Consider the following 16996-nt stretch of genomic DNA (forward strand, 5'->3'; position numbering starts at 1 on the left):
TCGCTCCTTTTCACGGCTCAGTCGTGTTCCAGTGGGCAGAGGGCCATGCCGTGTTTGCCCATTCTTGTGTTGATGGACATTTGGGCTGTTTCAGACGTTTCTGAGTGTGTAGGGAATGCTGTTCTTGCCAACTCTTCCAGTGGCCCTGGATTTGGGCCTTTGACCCTCACAGAAGGCCAAGCAGAGGCTGGGCAGGTCCCACCAAGGCCAGAAGCAGAGGGCGTGTTCCCCAGCAGGGCCTGGTGTTTGGAGCATGACACATGGAAACAGCTTCCAGGCATGACCCTGTGTCTCCCAGCTGGCCCTGCCACTTCTGGAGGTGACCCTGCCACCCTGTGACTCTGTTTCTCCGTCGGCAAAGGCGGCGGTGATGGGGACTCTGTGGTGGCAGCTATTGTCAGGCAGCATGGCAGCTGCACACGGGGGCTCGCCCATGTGAGGGAGGCTTTCCGCAGGTGGTCCCTGTCCCTGTCCCTGTTCGCATGGTCCTGCAGACGGCCGTCTCACCCCCATACCACTGGCGTTGGAGGGCAGATTGGGCGTGAGGAGAGGGTGAATCTGTGTCCAGGGCTCCCCAGTTTTCCGTTCAGACCCGTGGGGAGGCGACTTTCCCGCTGTGGGCTCCAGCATCGGGAGGGGTGGTCTGTGTGGAGTGACGTGTGGCCCTGTCCCCGCTACGAGAAATCCCGGGGAAAGGAGGGGTGAAGGGGGCGGGAGGGGGTTCCTGGAATCTGGCTGAGCTTGGGTGGCACCCAAGGATGCCTGCAGCCCGCCCAGTGGCACGGGAAGCCCCCTCACCCGCTGGCTGGAAGGGGTGGGAGGCAAGTGGCAGGAGGCAGGTGGATGGGTTGCCTGTTCTTCCCTGGGGGCGCCAGGGGAAGACCTGTCCCTGCCAGAGCACCGCGGCTGGCAGCCCCCAGCCCTTTGGTGGCAGCTATGCCCTGGGGTGGGCAGGGTGATGCGTAGGTCATCTGCCCCTGTGGTGGGCCCAGCGCCCTCCTGTCTTCTCAGACCCTCCAGAGGAGGCAAAGGAGGTCTCTCAGGCAGAGCGAGAACATGTCATTCCTTCAGGGACAGCAGAACCACCACAGGTACTGCCCACCTGGGTCAGACATCAGAGGGACAGAGACAGAGAGACAGAGACAGTCAGAGACAGAGAGACAAAGGGAGACAGAGAGAGACAGACGCAGGCAGACAGAGTCAGAGATGGAGGGAGGAAGAGACGGAGAGACAGTGACAGAGACAGAAGGAGACAGAGACAGAGAGACAGAGACAGAGGGAGACAGAGAGACAGAGATGGGGGAGACAGACAAAAACAGAGAGACAAAGACAGAGACAGAGGGAAACAGAGAGAGGGAGAGACAGAAATAGAGATAAACAGAGACAGAGAGGGAAGGAGACAGAGAAAGAGACAGAGAGACAGAGGGAGACAGAGATAGATCGAGTCGGACAGAGACAGAGAAAGAGACACAGAGAGACAGAGGGATACAGAGATACAGCAAGTCGGAGAGAGACAGAGAGACATGGGGAGACAGAGGCAGCGCAGGGGCGGCTGTGCAGGGCGATGGGCCGAGGGCTCCATCCCGGCCTTCCTGGCCCCTGGGCCCCCCGCCTCCCAGCTGTGACTGGCCTGCTCTGGCCTTGGGCTCCGCCTGACTTTTCTGGGTTTGGGGTTGAGGGTGCAGGAGGCCCTGGCAGGGCAGGACTCTGGGTCCCCAGGGGCCGCCTCACCATCCTGCCCCCGGGGTCACAGAACTTGGGCATCTCCCCATCAGTGGGCGACACGGGCCCAGCAGGGACTCGGGAAGGGGCTGGGGCACCCTGGGCTCTGCTCAGCCCGTGTCCCAGGAGCTTGGCAAGGGGCGCACAGCCAGCCCACAGCTAACTGCTGAGGGGAACCCTCCTCTCCCAGGTGCCAGCCCAGGTGGGGGCAGGGAGCCTCAGGCCCTACCCTCGGGTGCTCACAGCGTCTCCTGGACTTAGCAGAGGTCGGTGAGGCCCGAGGAAGCTTCATGCTGGGGTCTCGGTGCAGGAGGTGGAGGGGGGATGGGAAAAGGCTTGAAGGGAGGGCCCGGATCCATCAATGGACACTGAGGCTGCTTGGTGTCTCCTGGAAGATCTGTTCACATCCTGGCCCCTGAAACTTGTGAATGGGACTTTATTTAGAAATAGGGCCTTTGCGGCCGGGCGCGGTGGCTCACGCCTGTAATCCCAGCACTTTGGGAGGCCGAGGCAGGCGGATCACAAGGTCAGAAGATCGAGACCATCCTGGCTAACACGGTGAAACCCCGTCTCTATGAAAAATACAAAAACAAAATTAGCCGGGCGTGGTGGCGGCAGGCGCCTGTAGTCCCAGCTACTCGGGAGGCTGAGGCAGGAGAATGGTGTGAACCCGGAAGGCGGCGCTTGCAGTGAGCCGAGATCGCGCCACCGCACTCCAACCTGGGCGACACAGCGACACTCCGTCTCAAAAAAAAAAAAAAAAAAATAGGGCCTTGGCAGATGTGACCGAGTTATGACGAGGTCGTTCGAGTGGGCCTGGCGCAGCGTGACTGGCATCCATATAAAATACACATGCATTGATTGGGCACTGGTGAAAGGGAACTACCTCAGTCCCCACCTCAGGATGTCGCATAACCGGTGTTTATGGCACCAAAAACTTCATCTCTGTAAACCACTTGGAGGGGTGTCTGGCACCAAGTCCATGTCCATGAGTGTCTGAAAATAGCATAAAAATAAAATAGAAAAAAAGAAAGAGCTGGTGCCTACCCTCGGGGAGCCTACAGGACGTGAGCTTGAAAGAGCTGGTTATCTCCCCGTCTCTCTGTCTCTCTCTGTCTTGGAAATGTCTAAGGGGGCAGGCAGGAGGGCTTCCTGGAGGAGGGGTCCTTTGAGCTGAGTTCAGAAGGGCGAGAAGGAGCCAGGTTTCTCATGGAGCAGCCAATGCAAAGGGCTGGGGGCCACCTGGAGCCTGGTGTGTCCTTCGGGCAGCTGGTGTGGCTGGAGCAGGGGATGCCAAGCCTGCTGAGGGCTTCATGGGCCGCAGGGAGGAGTTTGGTTTTTCTCCTGAGGGCACTGGGGAGCCACAGCAGAGTTTAGAGCAGAAGAAGGACACAATTTGTGCCCTGTGCCCGTGGTGAGCGGCGAGCAGGGAGGGCTGCCTGGAGGCGGGTAAGGACCTCAGAGCGGAATTCTGCCACAGTGAAGCTTTGGAGGAAATCTTTCTTCCTTTTCTCTTCTTTTCCCATCACGGGTTGAGAAATTGGAGGGAGGGGCATTGCTGGGGCTTCCTGTGCCCGCGTGTGCGGGGGGTTCTGGGGCCTGCTGCCTGCCTGAGCCAGCCCCTTTTCCCGCCAGAGGCCTCTCGTCAGTCCCCGGGGGGGCCCAGTGGTGACCTTGGGCCTCGGGGAACATCCAGACCTGGGTCAGTGGCCTCGGCAAGTGCCCGGGGGATCCGCCCTCCGGTCCCCGTGCCAGTTTCCACAGCGGGACAGGGGGGTCCCGGGGGCCGGGAGTCCGCAGCCCCGAAGACCTACGCTGCCGCCAGCCACACCCCTGGGGGTCCGACCCTCCTGGGTCCCACTTTACAGATGGAGGAACTGAGGCGGTGACTCTAATCTTCGCCCGGCCTGAGTCGCGGGGCTGGAACCCGCAGCGTTTGCCGATTCCCAGGGCCCGAGCGCTCCGGCGAGTGTGTGTGTAACGCCCTCTCCCTGGACGCCTCGAGTTTAGGAAACGGCGGAGCCGCCCGGATTGAAATTCTCGGCCCGTGCACGCCCGGCGGAGAAATCCATGACGCATTGTTTAGACAGACGCCTTTAAACCGCGCCGCGGCGGGGGGCGGCGGCCGGGGGCGCCTGCGCGGGGAAGGTCACCCTTTTTTTCTGCACAAAGGTCAGCCGTAGACCGTTGCCAAGACAACGGCCGGCGTAAAGATGGAGGCTTAAGGAGAACAGACAGTTCCCCTCCCGAAGATGCCCCGTGCAAAGGGCCCGGCCGTGGGCTTGGGAGGCTCAGGGGGTGTGAGGAGCTGAGCGCCGGAGCAGAGAGAGCGGAGAGTGGGGCGCTGGGATGGCTCTGGGAGGCCAGGAAGGAATGCGGGGGCCTGGGGGGCAGATCTTGGCTCAGGCCCTGCCAGGCTGTCTTCAAACCAATGAGCCTCAGGGTTCCTGGCTGTGAAATGGGAACAACGTCTGCCCTTCAGGGTAGGCATCTCCAGGCTGGTCTGGTGTGGGAACCGCTGTGTTAAACATGCAGACTCCAGCCAGGCGCCGTGGCTCACACCAACGGGGCACAGTGGCTCACACCAACAGGGCACAGTAGCTCACACCCGCCGGGCACGGTGGTTCACACCAGCCGGGCACGGTGGCTCACACCCGCCGGGCACAGTGGTTCACGCCAGCCAGGCACAGTGGCTCAAACCCGCTGGGCACAGTGGCTCACACCAACGGGGCACAGTGGCTCACACCCGCCGGGCACGGTGGTTCACACCAGCCGGGCACGGTGGCTCACACCAGCCGGGCACAGTGGCTCACACCCGCCGGGCACAGTGGTTCACACCAGCCGGGCACAGTGGCTCAAACCCGCTGGGCACAGTGGCTCACACCAACAGGGCACAGTGGCCCACGCCAGCCGGGCACGGTGGCTCACGCTAACAGGGCAGAGTGGTTCACGCTAGCCGGGCATGGTGGCAGTATGCCAGCCGGGTACAGTGGCTCACGCTTGTCATCTCAGCACTTTGGTGTTTGTTTGTTTGTTTGTTTTTGAGATAGTCTCACTCTGTCGCCCAGGCTGGACTGTAGTGACAAGATCTGGGCTCATTGCAACCTCCGCCTCCCGGGTTCAAGCGATTCTACTGCCTCAGCCTCCCAAGTAGCTGGGACTACAGGCATGTGCCATCACGCCTAGCTAATTTTTTGTACTTTTAGTAGAGACGCGGTTGCACCATTTTGGCCAGGCTGGTCTTGAACTCCTGACCTCGTTATCCACCCGCCTCGGCCTCCCGAAGTGCTGGGATTACAAGTGTGAGCCACCGCGCCCAGCCTCATCTCAGCACTTTAGGAGGCTGAGGCGGGAGGACTGCTTGAGTCCAGGAGTTTAAGACGAGCTGGGCAACATAGTGCAATCCTGTCTTTATTTTAAAAAATACAAAAAAATTAGCTGTGCATGGTGGTGTGCATGTGCAGTCCAGTCCCACGTACTCAAGAGGCTGAGGTGGGAGGATCTTGGGAGCCCAGGAGGTCACAGCTGCAGTGAGCCATGATTATGTCACTGCACTCCAGCCTGGGTGACAGAGCAAGACCCTGTCTCAAAAAGGCAGATTCGGCCGGGTGCGGTGGCTCACGCCTGGAATCCCAGCACTTCGGGAGGCCGAGGTGGGCGGATCACCAGGTCAGGAGATCGAGACCATCCTGGCTAACACGGTGAAACCCCGTCTCTACTAAAAATAAAAAAATCAGCCGGGCGTGGTGGTGGGCGCCTGTAGTCCCAGCTACTTGGGAGGCTGAGACAGGAGAATGGCGTGAACCCGGGAGGTGGAGCTTGCAGCGAGCCGAGATTCTGCCACTGCACTCCAGCCTGGGTGACAGAGCGAGACTCCGTCTCAAAAAAAAAAAAAAAAAATGCTGATTCATAGGCCCTCCAGGGGGCTCGGGCTCCAGAAAGGCTGGGGGTCTTGGTCAGCATCCTAGGTGTCCCCTGATCACCGCCAGAGGTCCCATGAGTGTGAGCTGGGACTCCGAGGAGGCTTGGTTTCTCCTACCCCCTTCCCCGAGCTGGAGCCGGAAGCCCAGTGGCCCCTCTGGGCCGGAAGCAGACTGGAGGCTCAGATTTGCAAACCTGAGAACAGAGGTCCCGGGAGCAATGAGGTGGGCCTGAGACCCTCGCTCAGAGGTGGCTGCTTCTCGATCTGCAGGATCTGAGGGCCTTGGCGGCCAGCAGGGACGTGGCCAGGAGCTGGCCTCGGCTTTGGGGACTCAAGGTCTTTGCTGTCATAGCTTTTTGGTAGCTACATAAAAATGGTGCTGTTCACACAAACCAATCTCCCTGGAGGTGCTTTTAAGGACTGATGAGAGCCACACGCCCTGATTACCATTTCATTTACCGGCGAACCTGCCTTACCTTTGCGACAGAGAGGACATCAGGAAGGTGACTTTTATTGAGGTGAAATTCACACGATGCAAAAGTAACCATTTTAAAGTAAACTTAATGACCTGCGTCAGCCTCACTCCCATTCCCTGCCCCAGCCCTGACGCTACGCAACCACTTTCTTCTTTTATTTATTTATTTATTTATTTTTTGAGACAGAGTCTTTCTCTGTAACCCAGGCTGGAGTGCAGTGGCACGATCTCAGCTCACTGCAACCTCCACCTTCCGGATTCAAGCAATTCTCCTGCCTCAGCCTCCCGAGTAGCTGGGACTACAGGTGCCCGCCACCACACCCGGCTATTTTGTATCTTTAGTAGAGACGGGGTTTCACCGTGTTGGCCAGGCTGGTCTCCAACGCCTGACCTCAAGTTATCCACCCACCTTGGCCTCCTGAAGTGTTGAGATTACAGGCGTGAGCCACCTCACCCAGCCGAGCAGTTTTTAATTTTTGGAAAATGTGTACCTCCACTGTGAGAGGCGTCTGTGTGTGCGTGTTGTGGTTTGAGTGCCCTGAATTAGTTAAAGGCACTCCTTCTTCTCTGCGGTTCCCTGCAGACCTGACCGTCTGTGATTCTGCAGATGTCAGGGCTGTACAGAAGAGGGTGGAGGCCGGGCCAGCCCCAGCTCCTGCTCACACAGGGAATTAGTGTCAGAGCTGGGCTGGGGTCGAGAGGTGGGCTGCTGGGACATCCGCCCTTTCACCCCCATGCTGACTCCAACATCAGATTGCTGTCAGCCTGGCTGTCCGAAAAAGAACGGACCTGGGGCCGGGCGCAGTGGCTCACGCCTGTAATCCCAGCTACTCAAAAGGCTGAGGCAGAAGAATCGCTTGAACCAGGGAGGCGGAGGTTGCAGTGAGCCGACATCGTGCCACTGCATTCCAGCCGGGGTGACAGAGTGAGACCCCATCTCAAAAAAGAAAAAGAAAAAAAAAAAGGGCCGGGCGCAGTGGCTCATGCCTGTAATCCCAGCACTTTGGGAGGCCAAGACCGGCTGATCACGAGGTCAGGAGATCGAGGCCATCCTGGCTAACACAGTAAAACCTCGTCCCTACTAAAAATAAAAAAAATTAGCCAGGCGTGGTCGAGGGCACCTGTAGTCCCAGCTACTCGGGAGGCTGAGGCAGAATGGTGTGAACCCAGGAGGCGGAGCTTGCAGTGAGCCGAGATCGTGCCACTGCACTCTAGCCTGGGCGACAGAGCGAGACTCCGTCTCAAAACAAACAAACAAACAAACAAAAAGACTGGGCACGGTGGCTCAGGCCTGTAATCCCAGCACTTTGGGAGGCCAAGGCTGGCAGATCACCTGAGGTCAGGAGTTTGAGACCAGCCTGGCCAACCCAATTTTTTTTCTCTACTGAAAAAAAAAAAAAAAAAAATATATATATATATATATAGGAGGCTGAGGCAGGAGAATCGCTTGAATCAGGAGGCAGAGGTTGTAGTGAGCCGAGATTGTGCCACTGCACTCCATCGTGGGCAAGAGAGGGAGACTCTGTCTCAAAAAAAACAAACCTAGAAAAATTAGCTGGGCATGGTGGTGGGCACCTGTAATCCCAGCTACTTGGGAGGCTGAGGCAGGATAATCACTTGAACCAGGGAGGCGGAGGTTGCAGTGAGCTGAGATCGCGCCACTGCACTCCAGCCTGGGCGACAGAGTGAGACTCCATCTCAAAAAAAAAAAAAAAAAAAAAAAGACGTACCTGCTCTTCTCGCCAATTAGGACAGGACATCGGGAACCTAGAAAATTTGACCAACACGGAAAAGCACCCCAAACCAAACCACACAGCAACAGCAAAACTCAGACTCTTAGCACCTCCACCCAGAACCAGTACTGTTTATACGATTCCAGTCACGACCCGGCATGTGTCGGGTGTGGACGCATACGCATGCACCTGCTTTTCTCAAAGAGTGATGTTTTAGCTGCTAATTTGTACCTATTTATCACTTAACACTGCATTAATATCACTGCTCTTTTCCCATGTAAACTAGTCTTCTGGGACAGAATTTGTTTTTATTTTTATTACAAAAATTTTTTTTGAGACAGAGGCTCTATCGTCCAGGCTGGAATGCAGTGGCATGATCGCATCTCACTGCAACCTCTGTCTCCCAGGTTCAAACGATTCTCCTACCTCAGCCTCCCGAGTAGCTGGGATTACAGGTGCATACCACCCCCCCACTAATTTTTGTACATTTACTAGAGACAAGGTTTCACCATGTTGGACAGGCTGGTCTCGAACTCCTGACCTCAGGTGATCCACGCACCTTGGCCTCCCAAAGGGCTGGGATTACAGGCATGAACTACCGTGCCCAGCCTTATTTTTACTTTCAGAGATGGGAGTCTCACTGTGTTGCCCAGGTTGGCCTCAAACTCCCGGGCTCAAGTGATCCTCCTGCCTCGGCTTCCCAAAGTGCTGGGATTACAGGCGTGAGTCACTGCGCCCGGCCCTGAAGTTTTTTTTTTTTTTTTTTTTTGAGACGGAGTCTTGCTCTTTTGCCCAGGCTGGAGTGCAGTGGTGCGATCTCGGCTCACTGCAAGCTCCACCTCCTGGGTTTACGCCATTCTCCTGCCTCAGCCTCCCGAGTAGCTGGGACTACAGGCGTCCGCCACCGTGCCCAGCTAATTTTTTGTATTTTTAGTAGAGATGGGGTTTCATCGTGTTAGCCAGGATGAGTCTCGATCTCCTGACCTCGTGATCCACCCGCCTCGGCCTCCCGAAGTGCTGGGATTACAGGCATGAGCCACCGCGCCTGGCCTGGCCCTGAGTTTTTAATCTTTGGCTTCTCGCAAGGTGCTGCTTCCTTTTACCTTCTAGAATGTTCTCCGCCACAAAAAAGATTAAAGTCTCCAACAACAAAACAAAACAAAAAACACTTCCAAACTGCAACTCATTGAGAGATGGCAGAGGCTTGTTTCAGATTCCAGTTGGGAAGGGGAGGTAGGGTGGGTGCTTCTCCGAGAAAGCCCCTGGTGTGGGGGAGGTGGGCTGAGGTTGGAGAGGGGGTACCCACAGCGGCCAGGTGGGAAGAAGCCTGCCTGGGAGCCGAGGTCTCCACGTGGCCGCCATGGACTGGGGGTCACTCTGCGCCTGAGATGTCTTCAGAGACTCCAGCTATAAAAAGCTGTGTGGGGCTGGGCGTGGTGGCTCACAGCCACCTGTAATCCTGGAACTTTGGGAGGCTGAGGTGGGCGGATCATGAGGTCAGGAGTTTGAGACCATCCTGGCCAACATGCTGAAACCCTTTCTCTACTAAAAATACAAAAAATAGCCGGGCACGGTGGCTCACGCCTGTAATCCCAGCCCTTTGGGAGGCCGAGATGGGCAGATCACCTGAGGTCAGGAGTTCGGGACCAGCCTGACCAACATGGAAAAACCCCGTCTCTACTAAAAATACAAAATTGGCCGGGTGCGGTGGCTCACACCTGTAATCCCAGCACTTTGGGAGGCTGAGGTGGGCGGATCACGAGGTCAGGAGTTCGAGACCATCCTCGCCAACATGGTGAAACCCTGTCTCTACAAAAAATACAAAAAATGGCTGGGCGCAGTGGCTCACACCTGTAACCCCAGCACTTTGGGAGGCCGAGGCAGGTGGGTCAAGAGGTCAGGAGATCGAGACCATCCTGGCTAACACGGTGAAACCCTGTCTCTACTAAAAATACAAAAAATTAGCCGGGCGTGGTGGTGGGCAGCTGTAGTCCCAGCTACTCGGGAGCCTGAGGCAGGAGAATGGCGTGAACCTGGGAGGCGGAGCTTACAGTGAGCTGAGATAGCGCCACTGCACTCCAGCCTGGGCGACAGAGCGACTCCATCTCAAAAAAACAAAAAAAAACAAAAAAAAACAGCTGTGTGGATTCCTCCGGGGCACGCTGGGCCTCCGGAGTCTGGAGTGGGGGCTAGGGGCTGCCTGGGGAGGGGCTGGAAGGGAAGCAGCAGACAATGGGCTGGGCTGCACCCCTCCCCCGGTTCCAGTTCCCCCCAAATCAGACGGACACGGCTGCAGAAAGCTGCGGCCTCTCACGCGGCCAGGCGCGGGGCGCACAATGCTTGCTGTCGTCCCGTGTTTTCTGCTGTCCCCGCCTCCGTTGTCTGGGTCCCCTGGGGCAGCTGTGGAAATTGGGGGTTGAGAGCCCTTCCAGGCAGGCTATCTTTGTGGCTGTTTCAAGCATCCTTTGGGAGACAGTAGGGGACACCTTCCCTTCCGCCCTCTGGACGAGGCAGGGGTGACAGCGTCGGTGCGTGTACTGGGCTCTCGGGAAGGAGGAGGGGGCCCGGCTCCTGGTCCCTTGTCCCTTGTCCCTGCTCAGTCCTGGTTGCAGGCATTGTGGGCACCACCCGTGCTGCCCACAGGAAGATCATTGTCCGTAGCAGCATCCTGAGCTGTGACCTGCGTTTATTTCCCCATGGGGACGTGGGGTCTCCCTGATGTCAAGAGAGGCGGTGTCACACAGGCATTTAACATGCCACTGCCATGATTGGGACTGGGATTGGGACCAGCACAGCCCCTTGGGGGATGTGGCGGTGTGGTGGGAGAGGGGCTTGGGAACCCACCAGCAGCCTAGCCCTGGAAGCTGCGTGTTGTAGATTATGGAAAATGCTGCAGCACTCAGAACGAGACATCTGAAAATGGTGTTGAAAGAAAACAAGGACCTGTCACTTCTGTGAATGTCCCCAGCAAGGACTCTCAGGCTATGATGAGTTGGTTTTTTTTTTTTTTTTTTTTTTTGAGATGGAATCTTGCTCTGTCGCCGTGGCTGGAGTGCAGTGGTGCAATCTCGGCTCATCGCAACCTCTGCCTCTCGGGTTCAAGTGATTCTCCCACCTCATCCTCCTGAGTAGCTGGAATTACAGGCACCTGCCACCACGCCCAGCTAATTTTTATATTTTTAGTAGAAACAGGGTTTCACCATCTTGGCCAGGCTGGTCTCGAACTCCTGACCTAAAGTGATCCACCGATCTCAGCCTCCCAAAGTGCTGGGATTACAGGCGTGAGCCACCATGCCTGGCCCAGCAGTGATGAGTTTTAAAGAATATACAGGTTATTTTGTTTTTATTATTTATTTATTTATTATTATTTTTTTTTTAGATGGAGTCTCACTCTGTCACCCAGGCCGGAATGCAGTGGCACGATCTTGGCTCACTGCAACCTCCAACTTCTAGGTTCAAGTGATTCTCCTGCCTCAGCCTCCCGAGTAGCTGGGATTACAGGCACCCGCCACCACACCCAGCTAATTTTTTGTATTTTTAGTAGAGACGGGGTTTCACTGTGTTAGCCAGGATGGTCTCGGTCTCCTGACCTCGTGATCTGCCTGCCTCAGCCTCCCAAAGTGCTGGGATTACAGGTGTGAGCCACCACGCCCAGCCTCAAAAAAAAATTTTTCAAATTAAATTTAAAAAAAAACAAACCCAGTCTGGGCACGGTGGCTCACACCTATAATCCTAGTAGTTTGGGAAGCTGAGGCAGGTGGATCACTTGAGGTCAGGAGTTTGAGACCAGCCTGGGCAACACAGAAAAACCCCATCTCTACAAAAAAGAAAACATGAGCTGGGTGTGATGGTCCACGCCTCTAATCCCAGCTACTTGGTAGGCTGACGTGGGAGGATCACTTGAGCCCAGGAGGTTGAGGCTGCAGTGAGCCATGATTTTGCCACTGCACTCCAGCCTAGGCAACGGAGCAAGACTCTGCCTGAAAAAAAAAAAGGATTTGTCTGTGTCTACGCGCGTGTGTGTTTTGCTCTTGTTGCCCAGGCTGGAGTGCAGTGGCGCAATCTCGGCTCACTGCAACCTCCGGCTCCCAAGTTCAAGTGATTTTCCTGCCTCAGCCTCCTGAGTAGCTGGGATTACAGACATGCGCCACCACGCCCGGTAATTTTTGTATTTTTAGTACAGACAGGGTTTCTCCATGTTGGCCAGGGTGGTCTGGAACTCCCAACCTCAGGTGATCCGCCCACCTCGGCCTCCCAAAGTGTTGGGATTACAGGGGCATGAGCCACGGTGCCCAGCCACATTTATGTATTTATTAAATAAAATAGCTGGGCACCGTGGCTCGTGCCTGTAATCCCGGCACTTTGGGAGGCCCAGATCAGCAGCGCTTTGCACGTTGTGCCTGTTGGCCTCGGTTTCCCCGGTAAAACTTGTGATGGTTGCATGAAGCCCAGATCCATGAATAAAACACGAGGTCTGGAGTTAGTGCTTCCTCTCCTACAGCGAATGCATAATCAGCCCACAACTGCGGCGACGAGGCGTCCGAGGCGGCCGCACCCCAGCAGCGATCGGTGATTCATGGCTCGATCTGCTAATTGCCTCTCGGGCCGGCTTCGGGCTGATGCGTTTGACAAGGCGAGGAGGCTGAGACGTGCATTAGGCACTCAGCCGCCCCCGCCGCCCATGGAGGGCGCGACTGCTGCTCCCTCTTGGGGGTGATCCGTCATTTCATCCACGGGGGAGTTGGGGACCTGGGGGGCAAGAGAGAGGCTGGATGCCTGGGCCCTGTTTGTAAACAGCGTTGATTTCTGAGCTGAGATGTGGCGACCAGGCCCGGAGCAGGGCTGTATTCACAGTCGTCGAGGGGTCTGCCGGCCGTGGCCCTGCTATGGAACCTTGGGTGGGGCTGGGGAACAGGACCTCCTGCCTCACCTCAGACAGCCCCTCCTGGGCCAGGCACCGTGGCTCACACCTGTAATCCCAGCACTTTGGGAGGCCGAGGTGGGTGGATCACGAGGTCAGGAGATCGAGACCATCCTGGCTAACACGGTGAAACCCCGCCTCTCCTAAAAATACAAAAAATTAGCCGGGCGTGGTGGCGGGCGCCTGTAGTCCCAGCTACTCTGGAGGCTGAGGCAGGAGAATGGCGTGAACCCGGGAGGCGGAGCTTGCAGTGAGCCGAGATCACGCCACTGCACTCCAGCCTGGGGGACAGAGCGAGACTCCGTCTCAAAAAAAAACAACAACAAAAAAAGACAGGCCCTCCTGCCAAGGAGAACGCCAGCTGCCGGCCGCAGTCATTTGTCTGTCACTTGGATGCATGCAGAGCGGGGTCTCCGGAGGGTGGCTGGTGCCGGAACCTGCTGCCACTTACAGGGCCCTGGTCCCCGTGGATGCTCCAGCTTCTCCTTAGAGCTCCCGGCTAAGATGGACCCGCAAGTGTGTTTTGTTGTTGTTGCTATTTTTGGAGACGGAGTTTCACTCTGTCGCCCAGGATGGAGTGCGGTGGCGTGATCTTGGCCCACTGCAACCTCCATCTCCCGGGTTCAAGCAATTCTCCTGCCTCAGCGACCTGAGTAGCTGGGATTACAGGCATGCGCCGCCACCGCACCCAGCTAATTTTTGTATTTTTTAATAGAGACGGGGTTTCACCTGTTGGCCAGGCTGGTCTGAAACTCCTGACCTCAGGTGATCTGCCTGCCTTGGCCTCCCAAAGTGCTGGGATTACAGGCATAATTTTTGTATTTTTTAGTAGAGATGGGGTTTCACCATGTTGGCCAGGCTGGTCTCGAACTCCTGACCTCAGGTGATCTGCCTGCCTTGGCCTCCCAAAGTGCTGAGATTACAGGCATAATTTTTGTATTTTTTAGTAGAGATGGGGTTTCACCATGTTGGCCAGGCTGGTCTCGAACTCCTGACCTCAGGTGATGTGCCAGCCTCGGCCTCCCACACTGTTAGGATCGCAGGTGGATCGCAGAGTCTTGCTCTGTTGCTCAGGCTGGAGTGCAGTGGCAAAATCATGGCTTACTGAGCCACCGCGCCCGGCTTGTCCCGTATTCTTATTGCTACGTCCGGCAGCGCTGTCTGGACAGGCCTAGGACCTGCTATCTCCTTGGGTCAGGCTCAGGCCTCTTTGTCCACTTCTGAGCTCCTCCTGGCACGTACTCTGTGGAATGAAGCCTGGAGCAGCTCTAATTTTTTTTTTTTTTTTTTTTTTTGAGACGGAGTCTTGCTCTGTCACCCAGGCTGGAGTTCAGTGGCGCAGTCTCAGCTCACTGCAAGCTCCGCCTCCCAGGTTCACGCCATTCTCCTGCCTCAGCCTCCCGAGTAGCTGGGATTACAGGCACCCGCCACCACACCTGGCTAATTTTTTGTATTTTTTTAGTAGAGACGGGGTTTCACCATGTTAGCCAGGATGGTCTCAATCTCCTGATCTCGTGATCCACCCTCCTCGGCCTCCCAAAGTGCTGGGATTATAGGCGTGTGCCACCGCACCCGGCCCTGGAGCAGCTCTTGAGGTGTGTTGGCCCCTTGGGCCCACTGGCCCTGGGTCACCTTGGGTGTCCACCCACAGTGGTGCAGCAGGAGGCCATTCTCAGCAAGACCCGCTCTCATCCCAGCGTCGCTCAACAGCTGCTGAGAACGCCCTCTGCTCCCGGTGGGAGAAGGGGCTGGTGGCACCTGAGGACCCTGGCCCGAGGGAGCCCTGGAGATGCTGTGGGTTCCCACATCTAGGGATGCTGGTAAAGCTTTGCACAGGCCTGGCAAGGAGGAAGCGGACTCCTCACCCTGCCGGGCACTAGGCAGGTCCCCAAATAGCATCAGAGAAACCTGCTTCCCCAAACGAACACTGAGTGAAGCCGTCATTTGCCCGGAGGTGAAAATGTAAATGGTTTCAAAATAGATTTGGGGCCAGCGTGGGCGACAGACACAGACAGGCACACACATGGGCTACCCGGGCTGGGGTGCGATGACGCCGTTGCCCCTGGTTACAGAAAGGCAACCCCCCAGCTCAGCACAGGCCGGGGGCCACCACCCAAACACGGTCACCAGCAGCGGCAGGAGGGAAGCAAGGAGACCACCTTTTCCCGGGGCCAGGAGACCAGGTCATGCCTCCAAAGGCTCCAGCTTGGGCTACCTGTGCCATTAGCGAGTGCCTCTCAGCTGCCCCCCGGGAGTCAGCAGGCTGACTGCCCCACGGCGGAGGAATGGCGGGGCTGTTTAAAGCACTCTGTGGAACTTTTCTTCTTCTTCCTATTATTATTTATTTATTTTATTTTTCAGATGAAGTCTCGCTCCGTCGCCCAGACCGGAGTGCAGTGGCGGGATCTTGGCTCACTGCAACCTCCACCTCCTGGGTTCGAGCAATTCTCCTGCTTCAGCCTCCCAAGTAGCTGGGATTACAGGCGCGCGCCACCACACCCATCTAATTTTTGTGTTTTTAGTAGAGACGGGTTTCACCATGTTGGCCAGGCTGGTCTCGAACTCCTGACGTCAAGTGATCCGCCCACCTCGGCCTCCCAAAGTGCTGGGAGTACAGGCGTGAGACACCGGACCTGGCCCTTCTTCTTTCTATTATTAATAGACTTTATCTTATTTTTATTATTTATTTATTATTTTCCTTTTCTTTTTGAGACAGGGTCTCACTCTGTCACCCAGGCTGGAGTACAGTAGAACAATCTTGGCTCACTGCAACCTCGACCTCCTGGGGCTCAAGTGATCCTCCAGTCTCAGCCTCCCGAGTAGCTGGGATTACAGGCGCCTGACACCACACCTGGCTAATTTTTGTGTTTTTAGTAGAGATGGGGTTTCGCCATGTTGGCCAGGCTAGTCTCGAACTCCTGAGCTCAGGCGATCCACCCACCTCGGCCTCCCAAAGTGCTGGGATTCCAGGCATGCACTATTATGACTGGTTACTTTGACTTTTTCTTAAAAATGGGGTCTCACCATATTGCCCAGGCTAGACTCAAATTCCTGGGCTTGACCGTGGTTGGTGACTTTCGCCTTTAATGTGAACACTTTGGGAGGCAGAGGTGGGAAGAGTGCTTGAGGCCAGGAGTTCAAGAACAGCCTGGGTAACATTGTGAGACCCCCCATCTCAATTTTTATTAAAAAGAAGGAAAACAAAAAAATTAAAAAACTCCTAGGCTCAAGTGATCCTCCTGCCTCGGCCTCCCTGGTAGAATAGATTTTTTAAACAATTTTTGGGCCAGGCACCGTGGCTCACGCCTGTAATCCCAACACTTTGGGAAGCTGAGGCGGGTGGATCACCTGAGGTCAGGAGCTTGAGACCAGCCTGGCCGACATGGTGAAATCCCGTCTCCACTAAAAATACAAAAATTAGCTGTGCGTGGTGGTGCATGCCTGTAGTCCCAGCTATTCAGGAGGCTGAGGCAGCAGAATCACTTGAACCCAGGAGGCGCAGATTGCAGTGAGCCGAGATCGCGCCATTGCACTCCAGCCTGGGCAACAGAGCGAGACAGGGCCTCACTCTGTCCCCCAGGCTAGAGTGCGGTGGCACGATCTCGGCTCACTACAGCCTCGACTCCGGCCTCCGTCTCCTGAGTAGCTGGGACTACAGGCGCCCACCACCATGGCCAGCTAATTTTTTCCATTTTTTAAGGAGCCAAGTCTCACTATGTTGCCTGGGCTGAGCCCGAACTCCGGGGCTCAAGCAATCCGCCCACTTCAGCCTCCCAAAGTGCTGGGATTACAGGTGTGAGCCACCACCCCAGCCGGTTTCTCCCTTTTAGAAAATTTACCACTAGGAGCCAAAATATTTTTTCCCAAGCTCGTTAGCCCTTTGACTTCTGTTACCATCCTCCTCATCTTTTCCGAACGACCACTTCTCTTGTCATGAGCTGACACAGCTCTCTGGGATGGGGTTATTAAGCCCTTTCCAGCAAAAACTGCAAGTATGTTTCCCAGCTGGGAGGGTGCTAAGGCATGTGTTACTCTGGTCCTGCTCCTGTGATACATTGTCTCCCAACTCCGGAGAAGGAGGTCAGGGTTTCAGTTCCTGGGTCTGTTTCTAGGGATGCCAGGTGGGAGTATGGTTTTAGAAAAGCAACTTGGGGCCGGGTGCGGTGGCCCACACCTGTAATCCCAGCATTTTGGGAGGCTGAGGAGGGTGGATCACCTGAGGT

At 56.2% G+C, this 16996-nt stretch overlaps 3 annotated features.

Moving 5' to 3' along the window:
- Nucleotides 2967–3480: an enhancer, noted in NCBI's record as "H3K27ac hESC enhancer chr19:1324501-1325014 (GRCh37/hg19 assembly coordinates)". NCBI's record gives its function as "activates a minimal SCP1, AML or CMV promoter by ChIP-STARR-seq in primed H9 embryonic stem cells {active_cell/tissue: H9 hESC(primed)}" and the evidence as "EXISTENCE:reporter gene assay evidence [ECO:0000049][PMID:30033119]".
- Nucleotides 3481–3992: an enhancer, noted in NCBI's record as "H3K27ac hESC enhancer chr19:1325015-1325526 (GRCh37/hg19 assembly coordinates)". NCBI's record gives its function as "activates a minimal SCP1, AML or CMV promoter by ChIP-STARR-seq in naive H9 embryonic stem cells {active_cell/tissue: H9 hESC(naive)}" and the evidence as "EXISTENCE:reporter gene assay evidence [ECO:0000049][PMID:30033119]".
- Nucleotides 14579–14628: an enhancer, noted in NCBI's record as "active region_13610". NCBI's record gives its function as "activates an Ori minimal core promoter by ATAC-STARR-seq in GM12878 lymphoblastoid cells {active_cell/tissue: GM12878}" and the evidence as "EXISTENCE:reporter gene assay evidence [ECO:0000049][PMID:35858748]".

The sequence above is a fragment of the Homo sapiens genome, chromosome 19 (assembly GCF_000001405.40).
Source record: "Homo sapiens chromosome 19, GRCh38.p14 Primary Assembly".
NCBI classification, from domain to species: domain Eukaryota; kingdom Metazoa; phylum Chordata; class Mammalia; order Primates; family Hominidae; genus Homo; species Homo sapiens.